Genomic DNA, 27,193 nt, shown 5'->3' with positions numbered 1-27,193 from the left:
TTTCTAATGGCACAGAATGAAGAGAGGACATCTTGAAAGCCTGCAAATTTACTATTAGTTGGTTTATAGAGAATAATAGGAATGATCAATGGTAAAAGTAGAAAGGTGGTTGTTGGCCAGGTCATCAATGTTGGCATATACCATGCTAATTATTTTAAAATTTATGTAATATCACTAAAGTATTTTTAATTGGGAAGTAACAAAATAAGATTAGCTTTCTAAAGATCAGTCTGTCAGTGGTGTGGCAAATATATCCTGGTGTGCTGGTAGGGGAGCAAGCATGAGATAGAAAAGTCAGAGAAGTGATGTTGAATTAATGTTTCTGAGAACTAATAAGGGACTCAACTAAAGGTGTAGCAATGAGCAGGATGTGTGGCTTATGGAAATATTTAGGTGATAGAATTAATAGGACTTGTTCAGTTTCAGATCCCTGTGTGTCACATCATCCAGATGTCGCTTTTCAGTACAGAGTTGAGTCACGTCATCTAGATGTCGCTTTTCAGTATAGAGTTGAGTGTTTGAGTCTCTGCTTAAAAGATATATCTAAGCTAGGGGATTAGATGTGGTAATAGTGTGAGACTAGTGGGTCATTGAAACCACGAGACCAAATGTTGTCACTTAGAGAAAAATGCATAGTGAACACAATAGAGGCTCAGGACAGAAACCTGGCAAGACCAAATTATAAGGAAGATAGTGAAGAAACACAGGCCACAAAGGAGACTGAGAAACTGAAGCCAGTAGGATGGGAGGGCAACCAGGAGATAGAAAGATTTTTGAAGAGAATATGGGAAATTATGAAATGTAAAATTCTGAGTAATTAAAGCTAAAGATGTATATAATCAAAGTGCATAAAATCATGTGTACACATTTAGTAATAGACCAAGATTCATAAAAAAGATGTTATTCACAGAATCTTGAATGATGTCATTTTATTCACATATATACACACATATTATATAGAGAGGTAACTCTAAATCTTGTGCCACAAACATAATACAGGATGAAAATCTCAAATAGATTTATATGGAGCTCAGGAAAATTACTGGATTCATAAATTCATTAACCAATTTGACAAATATTGATCGTATATAAGGCACTGGGTTAGAATATTTTGTAATCTTTCCTCTACGAACTCCTGAAAGAAATTTGGGTGGCACATACTTCTTCTGCTCCTATAATAGAGGTATCTATATGTCCTCTGGAGTAGATTGTTCCTAAGAGCAGATGCTATGATTCATTCTTATGGTGTACTAAAATTAGAACAGTGTCTTGCACATAGCAAAAGTACAGATAATATTTAGTGATTGGATGAAGCATGACCGTGGGAATAGAGGACTTTGTGATTGATTATATCCATCAACAAGATGTCCCTTGGCACTGCTGTCAGAGAGAACATTTATTGCTAAATGTTCTGACTCAGAACAGCTTTTTCAATGCTGCTTTAGAGAGACATGTAAAGTAATGGCTACTGACAATATTCATGGGTAATATGGTAAGCACGCACCCCAGCTTTAAAAAGTCTATCTTTGATAACAAAATTGTTTTTTTTCTATTTATTTGTGATTTGTTCTGAACACTTTTACAACTCCTGAGCTATTTTTAGTTCCCCCTTTAAATTTCTCATGATTCTGGTCTTACTTTCTGTATCTTTTATCCATGGATCTGTGGTTGGGAGGCATTGGGCTCATTCAGTCATCCTGGCTATCACTATGCCAATGTTAATGTCAATGTATTTCTGAATAACGATATGCTCTATTCAGATACATTAATTTTTTTTTACCTTCATTTTACCCATTGCACTAAAATTTGTTGCCATCACTTTCTACCAAGTAATACATCATACCATGTTTGGCTATTTAAATTATTCCTAATTATGTTCTTATAAAAATATTGTCTCCTCTTGCCTTCCTACTCTTCAAGTATGTTGAGATACCTTGAGTTGCACTTTTTAAAAAGATATGCTGGGTCCCATTATGTTGCCCAGGTTGGTCTCGAACTCCTGGTCTCAAGTGATCCTTCCACCTCAGCCTTTCAAGTAGCTAGGACTATAGGCACATGTTACCATGCTCAGCTTGAGCTGTGCTTTTAAGATATAAATTAGTCTGTGCTAATTTTTTTGCTTTTAATTTGAATTACTATCCTTGACTCTGATCACTGTAGTTGCTCTTCTGAAATTACAATATACATAATCTAAATTGATTCAATATTTAGGTATCAAGATATAAAAACCTAATTTCATGCAATTTTCCAAATAGTATAAAAATGCATTTTTTATTTTTAAAAAATGTAGCAATTTAAACACGAAGACCTCCTTAATCTCCTTTAGTTACTAGAACATAGACCTTCTTAATCTCTTCTGGTTACTAGAAAAGTACATTTTTAAAAATCTATCTTTTGTAAAGTTCTTTGTATTATATAGATTGTGTATGGGATTTATATATAAGGTATTGTTTGATCCCAAAAGGCCAGGCACAATTCTTCTGAATTTTATCAGAAATAACATTTTTTCTTTTTTTTGAGACAGAGTTTCCCTCTTGTTTCCCAGGCCAAAGTGCAATGGCGCGATCTCAGGTCACTGCAGCCTCCACCTCCTGGGTTCAGGGGATTCTCCTGCCTCAGCCTCCTGAGTAGCTGGGGTTAAAGGCATCTGCCACCATGCCCGGCTAATTTTTTGTATTTTTAGTAGAGACAGCGTTTCGCCATGTTGGCCAGGCTGGTCTCGAACTCCTGGCCTCAGGTGATCTGCCCGCCTCGGCCTCTCAAAGTGCTGGGATTATAGGCGTGAGCCACTGGGCCCACCTAGAAATAACATTTTGTTTTAATTGTCATTCGACCAACATCACAGATTTGATTACATACCACATGCCAAGCACTATGTAAAGCATTGAGCTGAATATTATCAGTGAGGCCAGGGTGAATTGTCACCAGCTGTAGTTCCCACCCTGCAACTACTCACTTTAGTGTGAAAGACAGAAGGATGAATACATTTCTTTTTTTTTTTTTTTGAGACGGTGTCTCGCTCTGTCGCCCAGGCTGGAGTGCAGTGGCGCGACCTCTGCTCACTGCAAGCTCTGCCTCCCAGGTTCACGCCATTCTCCTGCCTCAGCCTCCAGAGTAGCTGGGACTACAGGTGCCCGCCACCACGCCTGGCTAATTTTTTGTATTTTTAGTAGAGACAGGGTTTCACCATGTTAGCCAGGAGAGTCTCGATCTCCTGACCTCGTGATCCACCCACCTCGGCCTCCCAAAGTGCTAGGATTACAGACGTGAGCCACTGAGAAATTTCTAATACATATAGAAAAAGATAAATTGTTATACCAGGGCTAAAACATATAATAGAAATATGAAGTAGAACAAGATAGAGACTGAACAATATTGCTTGGCTTCACGGGAGAGATGGGATTTGAGTTAGGCCTAAGTGAACAGGCTTCCAAAGATGTCTATCAAGGGAGGACATTCTAGATAGTGGGGATAGTATGAGCAAAAGACATAGAAACAAAAGAGTAGACATCATTTAGGAAAACAAGGGTTGTTGTGTTTAGAACATATATTTTACAGGAAAATAGTGCAAGAAAAAATGGATAATTTTGTGGAAAATTCTGAATGCCTGGCTGGGAAGTTTTGACATTATAAGAAAGGGCACTGTGAAACAATATTAAACAAAAATGTGTATGTTTTGAATTCTTTTTTTCCCCCATTTATAGTTGAAGTCATGGCAATACATTTAAATATGTCTATTAATATGATTTTCTTTCTTTAATTTTTTGGGGTACAGTCCTTCAGGTAGCCTCACTTTATCTCAAGGAAGATCGGCATTGCTATATCAGAGACTAAAACAATAATGAGAGAGACAGAGAAGACAAAGAACATCAGTACTAATTTTGACTTGCAAAATTCTGTTTCTGTGTTCTTAGCAAAACAACAGCCTTAATATTTTAGTGTTGCTACAATATAAGAGGATTTTCTAATTTTCTGTAGCTTCACTGAGAGATCTGGTGCCAGTGATCTGACTCTATTGTAGCGTTTCTTCACCAGTGTGGAGTGGACACTCTTTTAAAGCTTAATCCTCTAGAGAAGAAGTGAGAGATGATATGCAGAAGAGGCAGTAGAGAGCTCAACCTATGTGCTCCATCTGGCTGTGAAAAAAAAAGACAAGTATAATCAAAATAGAAAAGAACAGCTAGTGTAGATAGACACTTTTCTAAAACTTGGTGGCTTTGAGCATCCTTCTCTGCTACCTCCAAATGACTAAGAAAGCCCATTGTTATCCAGACACCATCTCTCCAAAAAGCATGAAGGAGAAAGCATCTGAAAGACCTACTTGAGAAAGACAAAATCAATTAGAAGAGACAAGTTAACAAGGAAGAAAAAAAATACTGTAGCCCAGGTTATTTGAAGAGTGTTTTGTTTTCCCTTCTACTATTGAAAGAAGTAGGAATTTCAAAGGCAAATCAGATGAGTTATAGGAAAAAAAATGCCGTGTGTTTTGCATATCTGAACATTGTAATTTCTTTACCTCTTGAAGTGGTTCATCTGTTTGTAACTAATTATTTACTTCTTTTAATTATACCACAACAATCAGATAGTAAAGGACTAAGAAGACATCATTCGGGCTAGTCAAGCCCTGTAGCAATTTGCTGCTCTCAATTGTTGCCTGGGTCACAGGTCAGAACAAGTGACTCAAAGGTCCAAGAAGGAAGGTAGCTGGAGAGCCTCAGGTTACGTATGAAGAAGGAAGCAGGGAAGTTGAGAGACACGAGGAGAGTAAAGGAGGCAGGAAGTACGATGTCAGGCAGAAAGAAGACTGGTGATAACATGACTGAGATTCAGATTATTTGGACATATTGATCGCTCTCCAAGTTGGGTACTATCACTTTGGGGTATATAAGACCATATTAATTTTATTTCTATTTATTTTATTTAAAAATTATTTACTACTTGATTTTTCATTCAGTCAAGTTTTGTAAAATAAACTTATATAGTCTTTTATTCCCTTTCTTATTGCCATCAAGCCTTTAAACCCTAAACTAATTGCTATGTATCTGGTTAGGAGTTTTATTTGGCAATATTTACAAATATTAATATAAGGACCCTATCATTTCAAACTCTACTGTTAAATAGGAAGAAAAATGCATTTGGCATTTTATGTAAAATGACCTTGTTTCAAACAAAACATGCATGCAGTAAAATGAAAAATGTAGCTAGTGATGCAAATCAGTGGTTGCCAGAAAGGAAGAAGACATGAGGTACTGACACCAAATGGGTGAGAGAGAACTCTTGGGAGTGGTGGAAATGTTCTGTGTCTTTCTTGTAATGATGGTTACATGGCCACATCCATTTGCCAAAACTCATTGAACTGGACACTTAAAATGAATATAGTTTGTCCTATGTAAAGTCTACTTCAATAAAGTTGATTAAAAAAGAAAAAGAATGTTGTAAACATAGTAATTTTGCCAACCCATCAAGGAGGTATGTTTTCTTAGGTTTGAATTCCTGCTGGGGCCCTTACAAGTTGAGTGGGCAAGTGACAACCCTCTACACTTCAGTTTCTTTATCACCTGGAATTAACAGTAATATCTATTCCCTAGTAGCTGTATTAAGGAAACATGACAATGCATGTAAAGCATATATGGGGAGGGCCATGAGGACATAACTTCATCTTCTCTGTACACACAAATTAGAGGTAACAAGAAAACCTTTACTAATGGACCTTAATAATACAATCTCAATTATAAGAGATAGTTCAAATCTACATATGTAATTATTCTTTTCTCTAATATAAAAGTATTCTTTTTTTATTTCTTTATTTCAGGAGAAAATATCATACTCAGTTTTTCTTACATAAACTTTGAAGGGAAAAAGTTTTTAATGTGCTGTTAGTAAGGAGGATTGATACAGCATTCTAGTAATGGTCATATAGTTTTCTTCCAATTTCCAAGTCCCAAAGTACACTGTACCAAAAATGAAAATGAAGTATATTAGATCCTGTTAAAATAACTTCCTTTAAAAGTAAAACATCTCAGTCTCTTCTTTGGTTCTATAACCAGTTTCGGAATGTTCTTCTGCTGAGTTCTTTTAAATCAGCTTAATTTATGGTTCAAGTTATCATGGCTACTTGAGTATGAAGTTAATTCATTTAAACAAACAGTCTAGCTCCTGATTCTGAGATTTACATTGTGTCCAAAGATGGTATAAAATACATTCACTGCCTCAGAATAAAATGATAAGAGTTATTGCTCTTGGCCTCTCTATAACTGTTCTTGTTAAAGAATGAGTTGGCTTCTTAAAATGATGACTAAAAAGCTCGTCATCTTCAAGATAGGAAAGGAATGAGTTTACCACAAAATACTTAAATAAGATTTCAACAGAGGCTGATGAAAGTCAGAGAGAAATAAAATCTCTTACTTATTTTTATTTGTTTGCAACTTACATCTGACTTCCACTTGCTTATGAAATGAATTCAAGAGAAGGCCTAGAGCCTTGCACATTGTAGATACATACCTCAAAGGTTTGGGAGGAAAAAGATAAGTGGAATTAAGCTGAGTTTATTTATTTAAAAATGTGCTAAATATCTTTAATTTCCTGTTATTGAGCAATAGTGATGAGAGTTGGTGAGGAACCCACCTTTGCTGCATGGTGTTGAAATGTGACCTATAATTTTGAACACATTCAATTACTCATTCGTATTCCAGCATCCAGACTTAACTCAGCCCATTAATTTTAGTGAAATTTACCATATAGTAGACAAAAGTGCCTGTTCCAGAGTCAGGCAAATCTGGGCTTGAATAGTGGCTCTCCAATCCAGTAAACAAGTAGTGTGAGCTCCACACTTACCTCTCCAACTTGAAAATAATGATAGTAGCCAGATCACAAGCTTTTGAGAGAATTAAATTTAGTAGCACAAAGGAAAGGCCTATTTCTACTTCTTGCACATTGTAAGCTTGTCCAGTGACCCCCTCCTCCATTCACACACAGAAATTCCTGTGGTGCAAGTGGTTGTTGTATACTGGTATATATTACAATGAGCAAAATTTAAAATCTCAGTTTCTTTTTTTTTTTTTGTACGCAAAGTAAATGGGGAATAATACAGGAAAATCATACCTTTTTAAAAATTTCCAACTTTTATTTTAAGTTCAGGGAAATCATACCTTTACACAAGTGTATTTAATCCCTTTTCTAACTTGCCCTACAATTTTTTGACAATTTTTTGATATACATGACTATCTATGCCCCATATAATTCACGTTTTTTTTTCTCTAAGTATTGCATTTTTGAAGATGTAACCATATTTTTTCAGGCTTCCTTGATAGATGCCAACATGGCTCAGTCCGCACTCTCTTTAGTAACGGGTTACTCTAAGAGCTTCTAGTCTCTCTGTTTATAATTCAGTTGAATTTTGCCATCCCCAGTTGTCTACTGAGGAACTTTATATGAAAAATAACTGCATGTGGATATAGCATATTAAAAACTAAAGTCATTATCCTTTCTCTTGTCAGCCCTCCTTTCTTTGTGTTCTTCCGTCCATATTCCTCTTCCCGGGTGGTGATTCTCCCACATACTCAGGTGTTTTTTTTTTTTTTCAGAGTCTTGCTCTTGGCGCCCAGGCTGGAGTGCAGTGGCGCGATCTCGGCTCACTGCAACCTCCACCTCCTGGGTTCAAGCGATTCTCATGCCTCAGCCTCCTGAGTAGCTGGGATTACAGGCGCCCACCACCACACCTGGCTAATTTTTGTACTTTTAGTAGAGACAGGGTTTTGCCATGTTGGCCAGGCTGGTCTCAAACTCCTAACCTCAGGTGATCCTCCCGCCTTGGCCTCCCAAAGTGTGGGGATTATAGGCATGAGCCATCGTTCCCGGCCTGTTTTTTAAATTAGACTTCTTTGAAGCATTCTTCATGTCTCATTTTTCTTTCTTACCATATCTTACTGATCCAGTTCAATTCACTCTATGACTCAACATGAAACCTCTCATCTGGTGTTATCATTTACACAGCCTTTCTAGATACAGGACAAGATGATTCTTATCTCCACTCTTCATTCCTGCTGTTTACTCTATTCAGAATGTTCTCTGAACAAGCTACAATTTCAAGGTCCAGTTAAAGTTTTCATGTTTCCATGTTCAGTGTTTTCATGAGATCTTATTTTGGGCAGGGGTTTAGACCTTGTGGCATCTGCTCTCTTACTTTCTAGTATGATGGTCTTATGTATATGTTTACCTTCCTTGAGAAGGTCGACAGAAGGCAAATGGGCTCTGTGTCAGATACACTAGGTTCATTTCTTAGCTTCATAACTTACCAGTTTTGTCTTCAATAAAATGGGTTTTATGTAATACCAATAATTTGTTGATATAGTAATAAATAAAATAGTGTAACTTAAAGTTTTTTATTAGAAAGTACCACATATAGAACAGTTATTTTTATTATGCTTTTGCATTTGAATCTGATGTGGCCTCAGTCAAAAAAAGTTACCAAGATTGTTCAAAAATTGCTTGATTGTTGACTAATTGGTCTGAAAATTTAAGAATACATTGTTGCTTCATGTGTGAAGGAAATAGGCAATGTTTCTGATGAAACATGTGTCAAGACATTTAAGATCATGACTTTTCTTTTTTCAAACATGGTCTCACTTTATAACCCAGGCAAGAGTGCAGTGGCATGATCATAGCTCACTGCAGCCTCGAACTACAAGGCTCAGGTAACCCTCCAGCCTTAGACCCCCGAGTAGAACTACAGGCACATGCCACAATGCTTGGCTAATTTTTTTTTATTTTTTATTTTTTTTGTAGAGATAGAGTCTCACTATGTTGCCCAGGATTGTCTCAAACTTTTGGGCTCAAGCAGACCTCTTGCCTCAGCCTGCCAAAGTGCTGGGGTTACGGGTGTGAGCCACCACACCTGGCCAAGATAATAAATTTTTGAAAAAAGAAGTAGCTTAGAAAATGAATATCCTGAATACAATGCCTTGTATTTACCATTAAATGAAGTAAAAAGTAAAACAAAAACTAGAATGAAACTATATCTTGGTGCATAGTCTAGTCATACTAATTCATTTCTACAATTTTTCTTGTTTCCTTGCCTCCAGACTTTTCCTGCTTTAATCTCTTCAATGCCCAACTCAGAGATAAATCTTCCTAAAATAACATTCTCACCATGTTGCTTTCCTGGTCAAGAACCTACAGGCTCTCCTCATAGATTACTGCATCAAGATCCCAATACTCAGCTGGGCATGATGGCTCATGCCTGTAATCCTAGCACTGTGACAGGTCGAGGTGGGTGCATAGCTTGAGCCCAGGGAGTTCAAGAACAGTCTGGGCAACATGGCAAAACCCCATCTCTACCAAAAAAAAAAAAAAAAGGAAAATTGGCCAGGCATGGTGGTGCATGCCTGTAGTTCAGCTACTTGGAGGCTGAGGCAGGAGGATCACTTGAGCCCAGGAGGTTGAGGTTGCAGTGAGCTGAAATTGCACCACTACACTCCAGCCCAAGTGATAGAGTGAAAGACTCTGTCAAACAAACAAACAAACAAACAAAAAACAAAAACACTCAAATTCTGTACTTGAAATTCACGGTTCTGGCAGAGAAACAACAAAAAAAGAAAATTTCAGGCCAATATCCCTGATGAACATCGATGTGAGAATCCTCAATAAAATACTGGCAAACCGAATCCAGCAGCACATCAAAACGCTTATCCACCACGACCAAGTCGTCTTCATACCTGGGATGCAAGGCTGGTTCAACTTATGCAAATCAATAAATGTGATCCATCACATACACAGAACCAATGACATAAACACATTATTATCTCAATAGATGCAGAAAAGGCCTTTGACAAAATTCAACACCCCTTCATGCTAAAATCTCTCAATAAACTAGGTATCAGTTGTACCTATCTCAAAATAATAAGAGCTATTGATGACAAACCCACAGCCAATATTATACTGAATGGGCAAAAACTGGAAGCATTCCCTTTGAAAACTGGCACAAGACAAGGATGCCCTCTCTCACCACTACTATTCAGCATAGTATTGGAAGTTCTGGCCAGGGCAATCAGGTGAGAGAAAGAAATAAAGGGTATTCAAATAGGAAGAGAGGAAGTCAAATTGTCTCCGTTCGCAGATGACGTGATTGTATATTTAGAAAACCCCATCGTCTCAGCACAAAATCTCCTTAAGCTGATAAGCAACTTCAGTAAATTCTCAGGTACAAAATCAATGTGCAAAAATCACAAGCATTCCTATACACCAATAACAGACAAACAGCCAAATCATGAGTGAACTCCCATTCACAATTGCTGCTTAGAGAATAAAATACCTATGAATCCAGCTTACAAGGGATGTGAAGGACCTCTTCAAGGAGAACTACAAACCTGTTCAAGGACATAAGAGAGGACATAAACAAATGGAAAAACATTCCGTGCTCATGGATAGGAAGAATCAATATCATGAAAATGGCCATACTGCCCAAAGTAATTTACAGATTCAATGCTATCCCCATCAAGCTACCATTGACTTTCTTCACAGAATTGGAAAAAACTACTTTAAACTTCATATGGAACCAAAAAAGAGCCCGCATAGCCAAGACAATCCTAAGCCAAAAGAACAAAGCTGGAGGCATCATGCTACCTGACTTCAAACTATATTACAAGGCTACAGCAACCAAAACAGCATGGTACTGTTACCAAAACAGATATATAGACCAATAGAACAGAACAGAGACCTCAGAAATAATGTCACACATCTACAACCATCTGATCTTTGACAAACCTGACACAAACAAGCAATGAGGAAAAGACTCCCTGTTTAATAATTGGTGTTGGGAAAAGTGGCTAGCCATAGACAGAAAACTGAAACTGGACCCCTTCCTTACACCTTATACAAAAATCAACTCAAGATGGATTAAAGACTTAAACGTAAGACCTAAAACCTTAAAAATCCTACAAGAAAACCTAGGCATTACCATTCAGGACATAGGCATGGGCAAAGACTTCATGTCTAAAACACCAAAAGCAATGGCAACAAAAGCCAAAATTGACAAATGGGATCTAATTAAACTAAAAAGCTTCTGCACAGCAAAAGGAATTATCATCAGAGTGAACAGGCAACCTACAGAATGGGAGAAAAATTTTGCAATCTATCTATCTCACAAAGGGCTAATATCCAGAATCTACAAAGAATTTAAACAAATTTACAAGAGAAAAACAACCCCCTGGAAAAGTAGGCAAAGGATATGAACAGACACTTTTCAAAAGAAGACATTTATGCAGCCAACAAACATGAAAAAAATGCTCGTCATCACTGGTCATTAGAGAAATGCAAATCAAAACCACAGTGAGATACCATCTCACACCAGTTACAATGGCTATCATTAAAAGGTCAGGAAACAACAGATTCTGATGAGGATGTGGAGAAATAGGAATGCTTTTATACTGTTGGTGTGAGTGTAAATTAGTTCGACCATTGTGGAAGACAGTGTGGCGATTCCTCAAAGATCTAGAACTAGAAATACCATTTGATCCAGCAATCCCATTACTGGGTATATACCCAAAGAATTATAAATTATTCTACTATAAAGACACATGCACATGTGTGTTTATTGCAGCACTATTCACAATAGCAAAGACTTGGAACTAACCTAAATGTCCATCAGTAATAGACTGGATAAAGAAAATGTGGCAAATATACACCATAGAATACTATGTAGCCATCAAAATGGATGAGTTCATGTCCTTTGCAGGGACATGGATGAAGCTGGAAACCATAATTCTCAGCAAACTATCACAAGAACAGAAAACCTAACACCACATATTTTCACTCATAAGTGGGAATTGAACAATGAGAACACATGGACACAGGGAGGGGAACGTTACACACTGGGGCCTGTCGGGGGGATGGGGGACTAAGGGAGGAATAGCATAGGGGAAATACCTAATGTAGGTGATGGGTTGATGGGTGCAGCAAACCACCATGGCACATGTATACCTAGGTAAAAAAACTGCACATTCTGCACATGTACTCCAGAACTTAAAGTATAATAATAAAAAAAAGAAATTCATGGTTCTTTGTCATCTGGTCCCAATTTATCTATTATTTTAGGAGGTGTGACCAACGAAGTGTTTCTACCAAAGGTGTTCAACATTTTATCACTTATGACATGAATTGTCAATGCCTCTAGGGCCATCTAAAGTAGTTTTCGTTTCATGAAACTTCCTTAACTGTTAGAACTGATATTATTAGTATAGGAATCCAATATGAAATCAAAATACATTTATTGTTAATTAGAAAATGTCAAGCTTTGCCGCTGGGCATGGTGGCTCATGCCTGTAATCCCAGCACTTTGGGAGGCCGAGGCGGGTGGATCACGAGGTCAGAAGATCGAGACCATCCTGGCTAACATGGTGAAACCCCGTCTCTACCAAAAATACAAAAAATTAGCCGGGCATGGTGGCGGGTGCCTGTAGTCCCAGCTACTCTGGAGGCTGAGGCAGGAGAATGGCGTGAACCTGGGAGGCGGAGCTTGCAGTGAGCCGAGATTGCGCCCCTGCACTCCAGCCTGGGTGACACAGCGAGACTCCCTCTCAAAAAAAAAAAAAAAAAAAAGTCAAGCTTTATGGTGGAAGCTTTGAGGAGTAGAAAGATAAATTAGATACAGACTTTGCTTCTAGTCTATTATGAAGTTTATTGGGGCTCACAGAAAGTGCTATCAAAGTGGAGAAGATAAAAGAGTAATGCATGCTGTGTGTTCATTTCTACAGTTATTGGGATCAGAGAAGTGTTTGGGGGGATGAAGTGACATCGAAATTACCGTTGGAAAAAGAGTAAACTTATTCTATAAGCACAGTAGACATAGAGTCTAAGAACCCACAATACCTTTAGGAGCCCACAAAAATGTTTTAATTTTAATTTATTGCGAGCTCAGAAAAATAATAATGCATTTCTATATTTAATGTATTCATTTAACAAATATTTATTAAGCACCTACTATATCCTAGATATCGTACTAGTTGCTGAGGATGCAAATGTAAAGAGGGAGTCCTTGTCATTATGGAGATGACCTTCTAATTGGTTCAGAAGACAATGGACACACAAACTATCAAATAAATAATAATTTTCCAATGTAGTAAATGCTTTGAAGGCAGTAAAGGTAGGCAATACATAGAATAAATGTAGAGTGCTGTTATAACTGAGGAGATCAGCATTCCAAGTGGGAGGAACATAGTAGAGGAAAAGCAAGTTCCCAAGAGCTCCCATGTTGACAAATCAGATATGAGGCTGGTATGACTGGAGTGAGTGAATAAGGGAATGTCTGTATGGAATTAGGTTGGGGAGGAAGTTTACATTTTTGCATGTGATTGTGTAACATCTTGTGTCTCTACCTTTGTTAATTTGTCTTCTTTTAAATTTATTTTTAATTTATACTAACTTGTTTTTAAAATTTATCTTTGTAAAGTATTTTGAAAGTTTTCTGGAACAGGGTGGTGTGCTTAAAATTCTCTTATATCCTGCCCAACATCTAGCAGTACATTGAGATTATGAAAGACATTCAATAAACAGTTCTGAATGGGTAACAGAAAATATATTCAGATATCGCATAAAATTCCGCTGAAAGGAGCCAAGAATTCAGTTTGGTCTTAGATAAAATAATTTGTCATTCAGTTTACATAGTCCTATAAACATCTAAAGTAAAATAAGAGGTATCACATGGCTACTTTAAATAGTGTTGGCCTGGTTTTTTTTTAATTTTTATAAATTTGTTAGCACTATTCCAAGAGCACATTATAATCTATGACTCAATTTGGAATTTTATTCATTGTCATGGTAAACCAAGAAAAATTCTATCTAGGAGTAATACTTAGATATTATTTTTGGAAGCTCCAGGGAATATGTATATATTTTCCTCCAATGTCTCCAAATCAATTCTAAGAAATTAAAGTAGTATAAAGATTTAATTTAAAAGGAATGTTTTATTAATTAATATAAGCTTTGAATGCTTTCAGAAGTTATGTTCAGACCAAGCATCAATCTGCATTTACGAAAGTTAACAAAATGACACAGTCTAATGTAAGTGTAAAATAAGGAGTCAGCAAATCTGATACATTTTGATGTATTCTGTAATGCTTATATTATCTGCAGATAAAACAATTCACTAAGGAACATAGCTGCTATGATTGGAATGTTTGTTCCCTCTGAAAATTATGTTGAAACTTTTTTGTGGCAGTATTGAGATGTGGGGCCTTTAAGAGGTGATTGAGTCATGAGGGCTCTCATGAATGAGTTGATCCACTCATGAATTAATGGATCAATGGGTTATCATAGGTGTGAGACTGGTGGCTTCATAAAAAGAAGAAAGACCTGAGCTGGTATGTTTAGCCCCCTTATCTTGTGATGCCCTGAGCTGCCTCTGGGCTCTACAGAGAGTTCCCACCAGCAAGAAGGACCTCGCCAAATGCAGCCTCTCAACCTTGGACTTCTGAGCCTCCATAACTGTAAGAAATAAATTCCTTTTCTCTATAGATTACCTAGTTTCAGATGTTCTGCTCTAAGCAACAGAAAATAAAATAAGACAATAGCACTATTTATACTTGTCACAATTACTGGACTTAATTGCTGCTGTCCTTTGGGGGAGGTATTGGAATCTTACATTTTATTTTAATTTTTGTTAATAGAATTAATCTGATTCCATTTATAAGTGAAAGATTGATTATGGGGAATTTATATCTATGATAGGCTTTGCTCTTGATAGTGATGAATAAATCTTAATATTATTGCGTTTGAGTAACACTTAATCTTCAAAGGACTAGACAAACAGAAATTAATCCATCAATTAGTCTTTCCTCCCATTAAAACTGATACCTCCCATTTCCAAGGACAGCAGAGTCAGTTAAGAAGACATAATCTTTTGATTTTATGTAAATTTTGTCACTTTCCAAAGAAACATTAAGATTATAATCTTTATATAAGAATGAAGATTTTAAAGTGCAAATAGATTTATGACTCTTGAGGGTGGAGTGATTTATTATTAATTACTTTCCTTTTATTCTTAACTATACTTCAAAGAATTACTCTGGCACTAAAATCCAAAGAATGTTTATATTAGATCTTCACTTATAATTAAGTTTTGTAGACCTAATTTGGGAATTTCATTATGTAAATATTTATATCACATTCAATTTAGCTCAGCATTTTAAAATATAGTCTCACAGGTAGAACATCTAGGAGAACTATTATGTATATGAGGGAATTCTGTATGGAGAACTACTTACCTAATTTTTGCCTACTTGGGACTTCTGTATGTCCAGGAATTTATATTAGAATACACATTTACACATAATCTGTTAGTATGTATACCTAGGTATTTCATGGAGGGCTCAGGATTTTCAAAGACAAAATATGGTTGACTTAGAATCACTACACCACATATTTTAGGTAGAAAGTACAAAACATAAGATTTATTTTAAATATGTGTGTGTGTATTCCATATTCTAGATGTTAGGGTCTTATATTAATTTCTAATTTCTTGACACTGAGAATTAAAGGCCTGCCTGGGGACGACCTAAACTAGTGTTGATAATATAATAATACTAGCAGAGTAAGAGGCTCTACTTTAGGTCCTTCAATTTCTCATTGTAATACTTACTCTTATCTTGTTATCACTAAGTGTTGCTGAATTATTCTGTCCTTGTCACTTAAGTTTTAAAAAATGCTCTTATTTTGAAAAAAATCTCAACCTTATAAAAATTGCAAGAATAATTTAAATAACACTTTCCTGAGCCATGTGAGAGTGAAGGAACATCACAATGCCTCATCACCCCTAAATACTTTAGCATAGATCAAAGACTTTCTATTACATAACCACATTTAGGAAATTTATATTAATACATTACTACCATCTAAGCCCTAGATTCCATTCACGTTTTTCCAGCAGTTTCAATATGCTACTTTATTTCAATATGGTACTTTATAAGAAAAGAACCAGTACAGAATTATGTACAACATTTAGTTGTCGTCTTATTTTGAACTCCTTCATTCTGGAACAGTTGTTTAGTCTTTCCTTGACTTCAGAACCATGACATTCTTAAAGATATTATACGACTGTCATTTGGTAGAATGTTTCTCCACTGGGTTTATCACATGTTTCCTCATGATTAGAAGATTAAAGTTATGCAATTTGGGCATGAATATCACAAAGTGACTCTGAATGCTTTCATCCCATCAGGTGACACATAAGTTTGATTTATTCCATTACTGGTGAAGTTAACTTTATTACCTGATTTAGGTGGTATCTTCCAGGCTTCTCACCATACTTTCTTTCTTTTTATAATTAATAAATATTTTCTGTGGGGAGGTATTTTGAGGCTATGCAAATATTCAATTTCTCATCAAAATTTTAATTAATTTATATCTGCATGGATTAATGGATTCTCATTTTATTTAATGGGTCACAGTCCAATATTCTCATTATTTACTTTGATGTTAAAATTTCCCCAGATTTGGTCAGTGGGTTTCCTTTCAAGGTAACTTCTGTAGTGTCCCTTTGACATTTCTCTATCATTTTCTAAGAATTTATTTCTTTTTGACAAGATATTCCATGCTCATATTACAGCTTCTCTTTCCCAACCCTAAATGAATCACTTCTCCAAGGAGTTCTGCTTCCCTTGAGTGGACCATGCTATTTAGAAATCAGAATCTGAGTGTGAGGTGTGCTCATTACTATTGGAGATTAACGATCCCAAGCTGCGAGAGGTAGGGAATATACACACACACACACACACAAACACACACACCCCACACACTTACATTTATATGGAGCATCTATCATCTATCTATCTATCTATCTATGTATCTATCTATCTATCATCTATCTATCATCTGTCTAGCTAGCTATCATCTATCTAATAGTTCACAATAATGCCATTGTTTGCAAAATCCAACACCACAGAGTTCATTCTTGCTTTTTCTTTTTTCCTGTCTGTAACCCTTTTGTCTGACATTTGAGAAACTAGGCTCTTATTATGCTTAATGTATTTTTTTGATCATTGCTTCTTGTGTATTCAACTTCCTAGTGCTACACTGCCACACCAAACTTACATGTTTTCCTCACTCATGCTGGGCTCTGATACACTGTGCAGGGATGTTGCTGTCACTGACCTTTTCCTCGTGAAGATACTCTGCTCACCCCATTCAGGCTCCAACATGTCTCATTAGGCTGCCACCCCATATCCCTGGGCAGATGCTCCCCTTAATATTCTTATGTATTTTTTACATAATTTTATTAAACATCAACCTAGTTGTAATATCTTGGAGTGTTATCTAATCATATTATACCCCACATTTTATATTTTTTAAAAATAGTAATTTCAAAAAAGATAAAAGTGATGAACATTTTGTGTATTTCTGTATGCTGAATTTATCTATGTACTTATTTTTTCTATTTTAATTTTAAATAACTTGCTATTCCCTCTGCCTAAAACATTTTAGCCAGAAATTTCCATAGCTACCTTCTTCCCATAATTCAAGTTTATGTTACTAAAATATCACCACTTCAGAGAGGACTTTTTGGCCCCACAAAATATCACCTCTCTTTCTGTCATTTTCTTCCCTTGTTTTTCTAACACCTGTCAAAATAAATTATATTATTTAATACTTATTTGCTTATTGTTCTCATCCCCAATACATATACTCTGTAAGAACGTAGGCTTTATATATTTTATTCATTGAGAAGTTTCCAATATCTTGAGTTGTGTTTAGCACATGATATATAATCAGCAAACATTTTAAAAATATACTCAATAAATGTTTATTGAATGATAAACTGTGTTAAGACATTGAAAAATTTTAAAAAAGAAAACAGCCGTATTTAATATATATTAAATAGGAAATGTATGAATTATCATAATTTAGGAGTATTTTAATAGTTGATAATGGGTCAAGAAGTTGAGCATATAGTAACTACAAATAATATGAGATTGGAATTTTAGATACTAGCTACACAGTTTATTAGATCTGCTAATATTAATAAAAAGTAATAATTATATATAACAAATTTTAAATAATATCCATGTATTTTTATAAATATTAGCTATTATATTTAATAGTTAAGGAGTAGAAATAGTAACTACTACTTGAAGCTTATTTCAAATATTTTATTATTTCTATATCTCAAATTTTACAATTTTTAAGTTGAAATTCATAAGGACACATAATTTGAAATGTAAGCCAGATCAATTTTGGCACAAGCGACAGAAACCCCCTTTCAAATAGCTTATGTAAAAATAGATTTTATTTACTTATGTATCTACAAAGTCCAGGATGGACTTCATGTGTCACTAGATATAGAAGCTTAAATGAAATCTTAAGGTCCCTACAGCTTTAAAAGCTCTTTCTATTTATCTCTTTTTACTTTTCTATTGAATAATTTATTTATGGCAGACTCTTTCTGTATGGTTTCTAAGGACTTCATCTCTTGCCACAAGTAGCAAAGTCACAATGCAAAGGGCATGCATGCAAAGATAAGAAGGAGTTAATGCAGATTACCTACCACAGCCTAGGGGTCACCCAGTGTAATGCTGGGCTTACATCATCCACATCATTAGCTTTCTCAGAGCAAAGGGGAGTCTTTTACCTAAGAGTACTTGCAAAAATATTTGTGAGGACTCTAAATTTTGTTTTTGTTTTTTGTTTTTTCACATACCTACCCCTAAATTGATTGTTGTAGCCATGGAAATGGTCACTCTTTTGGAAGGCTCTAGGTTATGTTTCAACCCTAGAACTGTAGGGTGGGTCAGCTGCACATATAGGAACTAAGGACAAGGAGAGAACAAACTCCAAGAGATGCTGCCAGAAAATAATAAATATATGCAATAGCAATAGAACTGAGAAGTTCCTACAAGTTGAGAGAGAAGCTCATTTTTTGGCATTTCTTGTATTTGTCCCTTATACTTTCTAATAAAGAAATATCATGAATGGGATCACTTCATATTTTAACTTGAACCAAATTTAAATCCTAGGTATGATTCAAGTAAAAGGAAAATATTCCTACTCTGACTGAAGTAAGATATTTTGAAAAACCCTCCAAATTTAGACTCTACTTTGTGTGTGTACATGTATATATGTTTATTATTTTGACCAAATAATAAGCAGAATCAACCTTCTTTACTATTTTTCTCATTCAGCTGTTATGTATTATATTGTGTTTGTGATAAGGGGCAAGATGAATTAAAAGTTAAGGACAATTATATATATTTTGTATCTTATTTGAAAATCCCATAAAAAGATGAAAATTTGATGGCTTGTAAAACACTAGAAGAAAAGGAAGTTCAAGAAGGTTTTATATTCTTGGGACTGGAGACAGATTTTGTTAGCATGGGAGGCAATATTCTTAGTGGTTGGAGGAACAATTGGGTCTCATACACATCTGGGAAGAAATTCAAACCCTGTCCTTTACTAGTGATGAAATACTTGTCAAGGCTTCTACTTTCTCTAAGCCTTAATTTCCTTACCTGCTAAATGAACATGCAAATAATATCTAACTCACAGGATTGCAATGAATAGCAAATGAGTTACTATATACATATATCACTGAGTTTACTACATGGCCCATAAGAAGGTATTTATTATTCATCATACATTTTGAAAATATTCAAAAATTGTTCTTAATTATTTATGTTGAGTTAAGTCATTTACTGTGACAAAATTATGGCTTGATGACAAATATGTTACCAGTGTTAGGCAATAGCTCAGTAGTCATTAACACATTAATCTACATTATTTTTCAGTTTCCCAGAAGAAAGCATGGTTATAGGCCATAAACATAGAAAAAGTTCATTTTGAGTGAAGAGAAGATGAAAACAGGCTTTCATAATGGGGTACACTTGGGGGAAGCAGGATCTGGAACAAGTTCACACTCTAGGTAACCTTGGTTTCTGGAGGCAACTTGGAGGGCATGGAAGATAATATTTTCCAAAGATGACCACAATAGCATCCCCAGTTCCACATGCCTTCCTAATGTGACACTCTCGCATCAGAAGTTGTAGGCTAATTTCCTCCTCATCCTGTTGAATCTGAGCTGGCCTTGATGACTTGCTTGGCCAATAGAATGTAGCAAAAGAGACATTCTGTGTCTTCTGATGCTGTCACTATGATGAGTCTTACAGCTTCTGCCTGAGTCTCTTGGAGTGTTTACTTCTTGGATGCTCCTGCAGGGAAGCTGTTATTCTGAGAGGATTTTAAACCAAACAGAGGGGCCAAGGGTAGGTACTCTGCTTAACAGTCCCAATTGAGCTACCAGCTGGTAGCAGCATTAATTACCAACCGTATGAGTGAATCATTATGGATGACTCCAGATGACTGTAGCCCCAACTAACATCTGCCTGTTATCACATATAAGACTTCAAGTGAGAACCACGTAACTAGACTCATAAACTCACAGAATCATGAGAAATAATAATGCAATATTATTTTAGGCCACTAAGTTGTGGTGTAGTTCGTCATGTGATCATAGATAACCAGGAGAACAGTGTTGGAAATTCAGAAAAGAAAGAGTACAAGTACCAAAGCATCTAAGAAAATTTACCTAACACAAACATGGAGGAGGGTAAACATGAATATCTCTTCCTTTCACATCACAGCTTTGCCTGGAACCAGTCCTATTAGTACCCAGAGTAAAATCCAGACATATTTAATTGCTTGCACTATTAGTTTTACAAATGATTCCATAGGAATTTTGACTGCTTAATATGCATGACTTTATCAAGATTTGTAAAACAAGAACAAATTAAGAAGCATAGAGTAGTTTTTCCTTCTCTTTTTAATTCTCTAAGAGATCTTGGGAAGCCAATTGAGTTAAACCTCATTTTCTTATACACAGGGTCCTTGTTTATCTGTGTAGTTATTTTCTAGGGACCTGTATTACAAGGTTGCATAGAGAATCAGAAAGAAAATTCATGGATGAACTAACATGAAACTTCAGTTCTCTCTCAAATACCCTTTAAGTATCTTGCTTTAACAGTAGAATCTGTATAGACATCTCCTGCGTGCAACTTTCTATCTCTTTGTGGTTCACTTTACCTCTATTCCTGGATGTTTGCAAGGTAAATATATTGCAAATTTATTACCAAATGAGACTTAATGTTTTGCAAAAGATACAGAATTCCATGAAGTCCAGGAAAGAATTGTTAGAAAAATACTTAGATCTTATTCAATGCCATTGGCAAATGAGCAAACAATTGAGAAGGAAAAAAAAAAAAAAAAAAAAAAACTAAGGATGTGGACAGGACTGAAGTTGCAAAAGAGAATGATTTGAAAACTCAAGAATTTAAGATGATCTAAGAGAGGTCCTTGCAAAAATTGATTGAGCGTATATACATACATATATATATTTGCAAAAATAATCCACTTAATTGTATTGAAAATAATCAAATGTTTGGTGTAGAATGTGGTAACATGCAATACTATAGATTTGTCAGCAAAAAAACAAATATATTTGTCTTTTCCAAGAATTGAACTATGTTTGCAGTTATAAACAAAGTTTGATTAAATATCAGATTATATTTTATCACATTTTTATAATTTTGGTTTTATTTTTCAAGATAACGTTTTAATCAAAATCTTTTCCTCTATTGTGAAAATGAAATTTTGGTCCCAATTTAATAATGTGATTTATTTCAGTGCCTTTCTCCCTATATAAAATATTTTAATTATCCCCAGGTGAGGAAGGAAAATATTTTTAGCCTCCCAGATTAGAGAGAAATAATTTATTTGATAATGGTTTTCATTGTCAAGTTAATAGAGGATACTTTCTTAAATAACTCATGGCTTGCTTTCACATAATAAGCTTGGGGTATTTGTTTACATGGAAGAGATAATATCAAAGTAATAAGAAGTATAGATTTCTTTTGAGAAAGGATGGAGTCAAAAGAAATTTTGTATTTGATTTTAGAGAGTACTAAATGAAGTTCAGAATGAAAAACCCTGTTGTTTTTCTACTCTCCTTCCATCCATCCAGGCAACCAGCACTTATTCCACCATTTTCTGAGGAAAAACGTAGGACCATGACTCAGAGTCCCACCCTTGTCTCACGTGGAGGGGAGATAAGCCAGCACTATTCCATGCCTGAGCTGTGGAATGTGCAAGACATCAAAGGGCTTGATGGTGACTAGTTACAAAGTTGTTGCTTCAGGGAGAGAGGAAAAGAGACGATGGGCCATATTACTAAAAGAAAGGACTGTAGCAGTTCAAGGAGAAGTAAGAGCAATTTAATACATGTGCTATCTATGGTATACTCTCGATAGGTGTCTCCGAGAGTAACAAGAAAAGTCTGGGCAGTGAGGGCCTGTTGTGTGATATAAAGGGACAAAATAACTTGATCAGGGGTTCAAAACTCAATCACTCACTCTTCTCCTACTGCCACCACCCAGCTCTTTATAGTTTGGTCACAATTACTCAAACACCTTCAATGAATAATTGCCTAAATCTTCTGGGCTAAGTATAGAGGTGCTCTGAGTGAGTAGACCTTGTGTTCTTCCCTCCACCTTCGTAATGGAGAAGTGGCAGCAGCACCTTCCTGAGAGATGACTGGGTGGGAAGTCCTTTTGTTCATTGCTGGAGAAGCAGCCAGGTAGAACTTCTAATTTCCCTTCCTCCAACAGTATTTAGAGATGTACTCCGGCAGAAGGGGAAGTAGAATAGAATGAGAATGGAAAAGAGGAAGGAAAAGGGAGCAAGAGGAGCTGTTTTTCACATGAGTACATACAAAAGGAGAAAAGGAATCATCTGAGTGGAAGGCTCTGGGGCAGTCTTGAGAACTCTCAGTCATGCTGACCGAAAGGGCAATGTCAAACATCAATAACACTTTTATTTCTATGAGCAAAGTATGTCAAGACAAAATCCAACACCCTTAAAAGTTTTAAGCCCCAAAGCTTTTCTTTTCTTTCTTTCTTTTTTTTTTTTTTTTTTTTTTTTTTTTTTTTTTTTTTTTTTTTTAGACAGAGTCTCGCTCTGTCGCCCAGGCTGGAGTACAGTGGCACGATCTCGGCTCACTGCAAGCTCCACCTCCCGGGTTCACACCATTCTCCTGCCTCAGCCTCCTGAGTAGCTGGGACTACAGGCGCCCACCACCACACATGGCTAATTTTTTGTATTTTTAGTAGAGAAGGGGTTTCACCGTGTTAGCCAGGATGGTCTCGATCTCCTGACCTCTTGATCCGCACGCCTCGGCCTCCCAAAGTGCTGGGATTACAGGAGTGAGCCGCCGTGCCCGGCCACCCTCAAACTTTAATGATAACTAAACCATGTGTCAAAACACAAATAACATTTTTATTTGCTTATTTTTGTTGCTTTTGGCTCTAGTTCTCTATCATGTAAATATGAAGAGATTATATTATTCACGTAAGTAGGTAAAGACCAACAAACTCTTCTTTGTGGAGTTCACCAAATGTCACTGAAAGTTTATTGCCATTACATTGAAAGTAACACTGGGTAGGTCTGTGTATTGATGGTGTAAGAAGTTTAGCAAGCAGTTTGAGCTTGATGGAATAAAGACATGAAATGGTTTTATTTTATTTTTTTCCATTCACTACATTCAACCTTGCACTGTTAAGCTTCCTTGTTCTCTATTGTGACACTATCTCAGGCACACTTCATAATTTTGCAGTTACTTCTGTTTCTTCAAAATATTTCAAGTATAAACATTTATTTGTATATCTAATTTAAATCCAACTTACTGGTCTCCACTGTCATCCCTAATACCAGCCAGATTTGTGGCCCAGAAGACATAATAGCTTCTTGGACTATTTTTGGCTTTTAACATGTTTCTATAATCATAAAGTTATCTATATAATTCATGAAAATCTCAGTGTTGCTAATATTTTTAAAGTCCCATAATTCCTAAGATGGCTGACACAGCAAAAGTATTACTCTTTAGATATTTGGGTGGTTGCATATTATTATTCTTTGGGGCTTCATAGATAAGTATTGGTCTCTGGGAACAGCAACCAAGATGTTCCTTAAAGGAACCCTTTATAGAGAGAGATCTTAATGTGAGGTAAATGGGAATTTGAAAAGCTGTCAAAGGTAGTATTCTATAAAGAAATGAATGTGATACTGGGTATCCATATATCCACATTTTAGATTTACTTTCTTTTTTAAGAAAAAAGTTCTGTTTCTCCATCAGGATACAAAAAAGTTCTGTTTCTCCATTGGGATACAACAAAAAAGGTGTAGTACATAGTGATTTCAAGTGATTTTTTTAGCCACTGAATTCTCCCTTCCCCTTTCCCTCCCCTTGCTTTCTCTTTCTCATCCTTTTCTCTTTCCTTTCCTTTTTCATCAATTTCTTTTCCTTCCCATCCCTTCCCTTCTTTTCTCTTTCTTTTTTCCCCTCTAGCCTCCTCTCTTTTATTTTATTTACCTTTTCTCTCACACACACTCTCTGTTATGCTCTCCCTCTTTCTCTGGAAGCGTACAAGAAATTCCCATACATAAAACATATACAAATAGGCAGCTGTCATTGAAGTAAAAGTCCCAGACCCAGGTTCAATTTATCCAGTTTCCATTTACTCTCTCCCTGTCATGGCATCTGAGGTTCTTCACTGTTATCAATTAAGTGAGAAGAAACAACTAGTGTGAAAAAAAAAATCTGGCTTACTGTCTAGGAATATGTAATACGGATCCAGGATGCTACTTGGTCTAGACTGGTCAATTGATTGGAAATAGAAAATGAAAAGCTGTGATGTGAACATGTTTGATTACAGGACAATTCTGACAGTTGGAGGAAGGGAGGGAGGAAGGCAGGGATAGAGAGAGGAGAATAATGTGAAAATGCAGAGAGGTCAGATTTTAGGACTGGCTAATTTCATAATGGCATATGAATTCTTGATTCCATTTTTTAATGAGTTTTGGGTGCCTTGGATTCTGTGTTATTTCCTGCATGTTTTAAATACACACAAATACATATAGAGAGTTGTAGGTTGTGTTAGGCCATTATTGTGTTGCTATAAATACTTGAGGCTGGATAATTTATAAAGAAAAGAGTTTTAATTGGTTCACAGTTCTGCAGGCTTTAAAGGAAACATGGTGGTGGGGTGGTATCTGCTTCTAGTGAGGGCTCGGAAGCTGACAATCATGGTGGGAGCTGACTAGCAGCCAGCATGTCACGTGGCAAGAGCAAGAGAGAAGGGGGAGGTGCCACACTCTTTTAAACAAACAGATTCCCCATGAACTCGGAGTGAGAACTCACTCATTATCGCAAGGACAGCATCAAGCCATTAATGAGGGACGCACAACCCCCATGACCCAAACACTTCCCACTAGGTCTCACCTCCGACATCGGGGATTATATTTCAACATGAGATTTGGAAGGAACAAAACACCCAAACCATGTCATAGATGTACATTTTTCTTCTAGTTTGAAGTGAAACCAGGAGAACTGTGATGTACATAGAGGTTTAAGAATGAGAAAACTGACCATGGAAGTTATTTGAAGCATTTGTTATATATTTCAGTATCTATAGAGAATCTTTAAAATGTACATATCCTTCAACTTGTATATTCTACTTCCATGGACATCCTTGGATGAATGAATGGAGAATAGAAATATTTCTGCAGAGATAACTTCACATAGCATTATTTACAACAACAAAAATGAACAGAAATTAAACATCTAAGAGTAGGCTAATAGTTAATAAAGAATGGCATAGTCATGTAATGAGCAATCATATGGTCATTTCAAGTGTTTCCTAAGAATGTTTAAAATAGGCTGTCATACTACACAACTCCAGGAGGCATGTTATATTCTATTTGAAAGATATCCTTTACAATCATGCAGTGTCTAGCCTATATTTGTGTGTCCAATATACTGGCCTAATGACATATTAAACATTAAGCCAAGTTTGGCATTATATTACTGTTAAGTAAAAATACAGCATGCACACGAAACTATGTTTTTAGTATAATCTCAAATATGTGTTACATATTTCTATAAATATATAGATATAGTATTCATTTAGAAAGATTATAGAGATATATGCCAAATTACAATAAGTTATCCCTGGATATTGGAATTATAAATGATTTAAATAATTCTTTTTGAGTATTTTCCATTTTTTCTATGATGAGAACATATTGCTGAAATAAAAAAAAATGACAATTATAATTTTAATGCTCCTATCTCTGATCTGTTAAAATAGGATTAGGATTGCCTAATTTCATAACAGCATATGAATCCTTGTTTCCATTTTTTAATGAGTTTTGGGTGCCTTGGATTCTGTGTTATTTCCTACATGCTTTAAATACACACAAATACATATAGAGAGTTGTAGGTTGTGTTATAAAATAAACACCAAACACTGGGTTTATAAACAACAAAATCCTTTGTTATATCCTGCACCTGATGTACTCAGCTATCATCTTCATGGCAACTCTATAGCTATGCTTCATAGTAATAATTATTAATTTTTTATTTATTACTCAATACAGGTACCATTTGAGAGATTCTCTATAGTTATGGATTTTTAAAGTGGGCACCATGCTTTTAAGGAGGATCTGATCAGCCTTGAATATATTGAGAAATAACCTCATGTTTGCTACAGTCAATAATTCTATTGATTTAATGTATAATTCCGATTTCACAAACTCAAAACATATATAGGACTCTCCAGGGGTTTTCTAAATCAATAATAGGCTTTGATTTTTCCAGACTATAAATGGCCTTAACCTCTAGATGTACTGATTTTCCCATTTGACTGATGATTTGTAAGCCTGCCTAACTGGCCTCCAGGGATATAAAGATCACTGTAATTTAGACTGATAGAAAATATCACAGTCAACTATGGTATAAGCAGATAAACAAAGCTGACATTGCCTTAACACCTTTACCAAAAGGGGCATATTAAATGGTGCTGGGGACATTTGGTTAAATATTACCATCAGAAAAGTCCCGTTATGGGGAAAAACTAACTAAGTTCACACATTGCATAGATATTTTCTTTAACCTATACTTCCTCTCTCAGTTTCAAAGGAGGGCTACAAGGAACCTCATCTGTGAGAATCTGAATTGCGCAATAGCCTGTCACACCTTCCTATGCTTGCTGTCTGTGAGCCCTTATAAGGTCTGTGGTCTGGGCAAGCAAATTGATTAGAAAACAATGCTAACAAGCTAGAGGTCACAACTTGGGACCACATCCAGGCATGCATTCCTATTGCT

The 27,193-nt window shown here is 35.9% G+C and overlaps 1 long non-coding RNA gene across 1 annotated transcript in view, besides 1 other annotated feature; it reads left to right on the top strand.

Annotated features, from left to right (window-relative positions):
- The window catches only part of LINC02917 (long intergenic non-protein coding RNA 2917), an 89,729-nt gene extending 77,680 nt beyond the window's left edge, over positions 1–12,049 (top strand). The window contains exon 3 of the long non-coding RNA NR_186000.1: positions 9,081–12,049. This is a non-coding gene — a long non-coding RNA (long intergenic non-protein coding RNA 2917). The remainder of the gene's footprint in view (positions 1–9,080) is intronic.
- Positions 26,848–26,897: an enhancer, noted in NCBI's record as "active region_20703". NCBI's record gives its function as "activates an Ori minimal core promoter by ATAC-STARR-seq in GM12878 lymphoblastoid cells {active_cell/tissue: GM12878}" and the evidence as "EXISTENCE:reporter gene assay evidence [ECO:0000049][PMID:35858748]".

This window comes from Homo sapiens, chromosome 3 (genome assembly GCF_000001405.40).
Source record: "Homo sapiens chromosome 3, GRCh38.p14 Primary Assembly".
Taxonomy (NCBI): domain Eukaryota; kingdom Metazoa; phylum Chordata; class Mammalia; order Primates; family Hominidae; genus Homo; species Homo sapiens.
The sequence above is the reverse complement of the archived record's forward strand: the minus strand, read 5'-3'. Positions and strand labels throughout refer to the sequence as shown.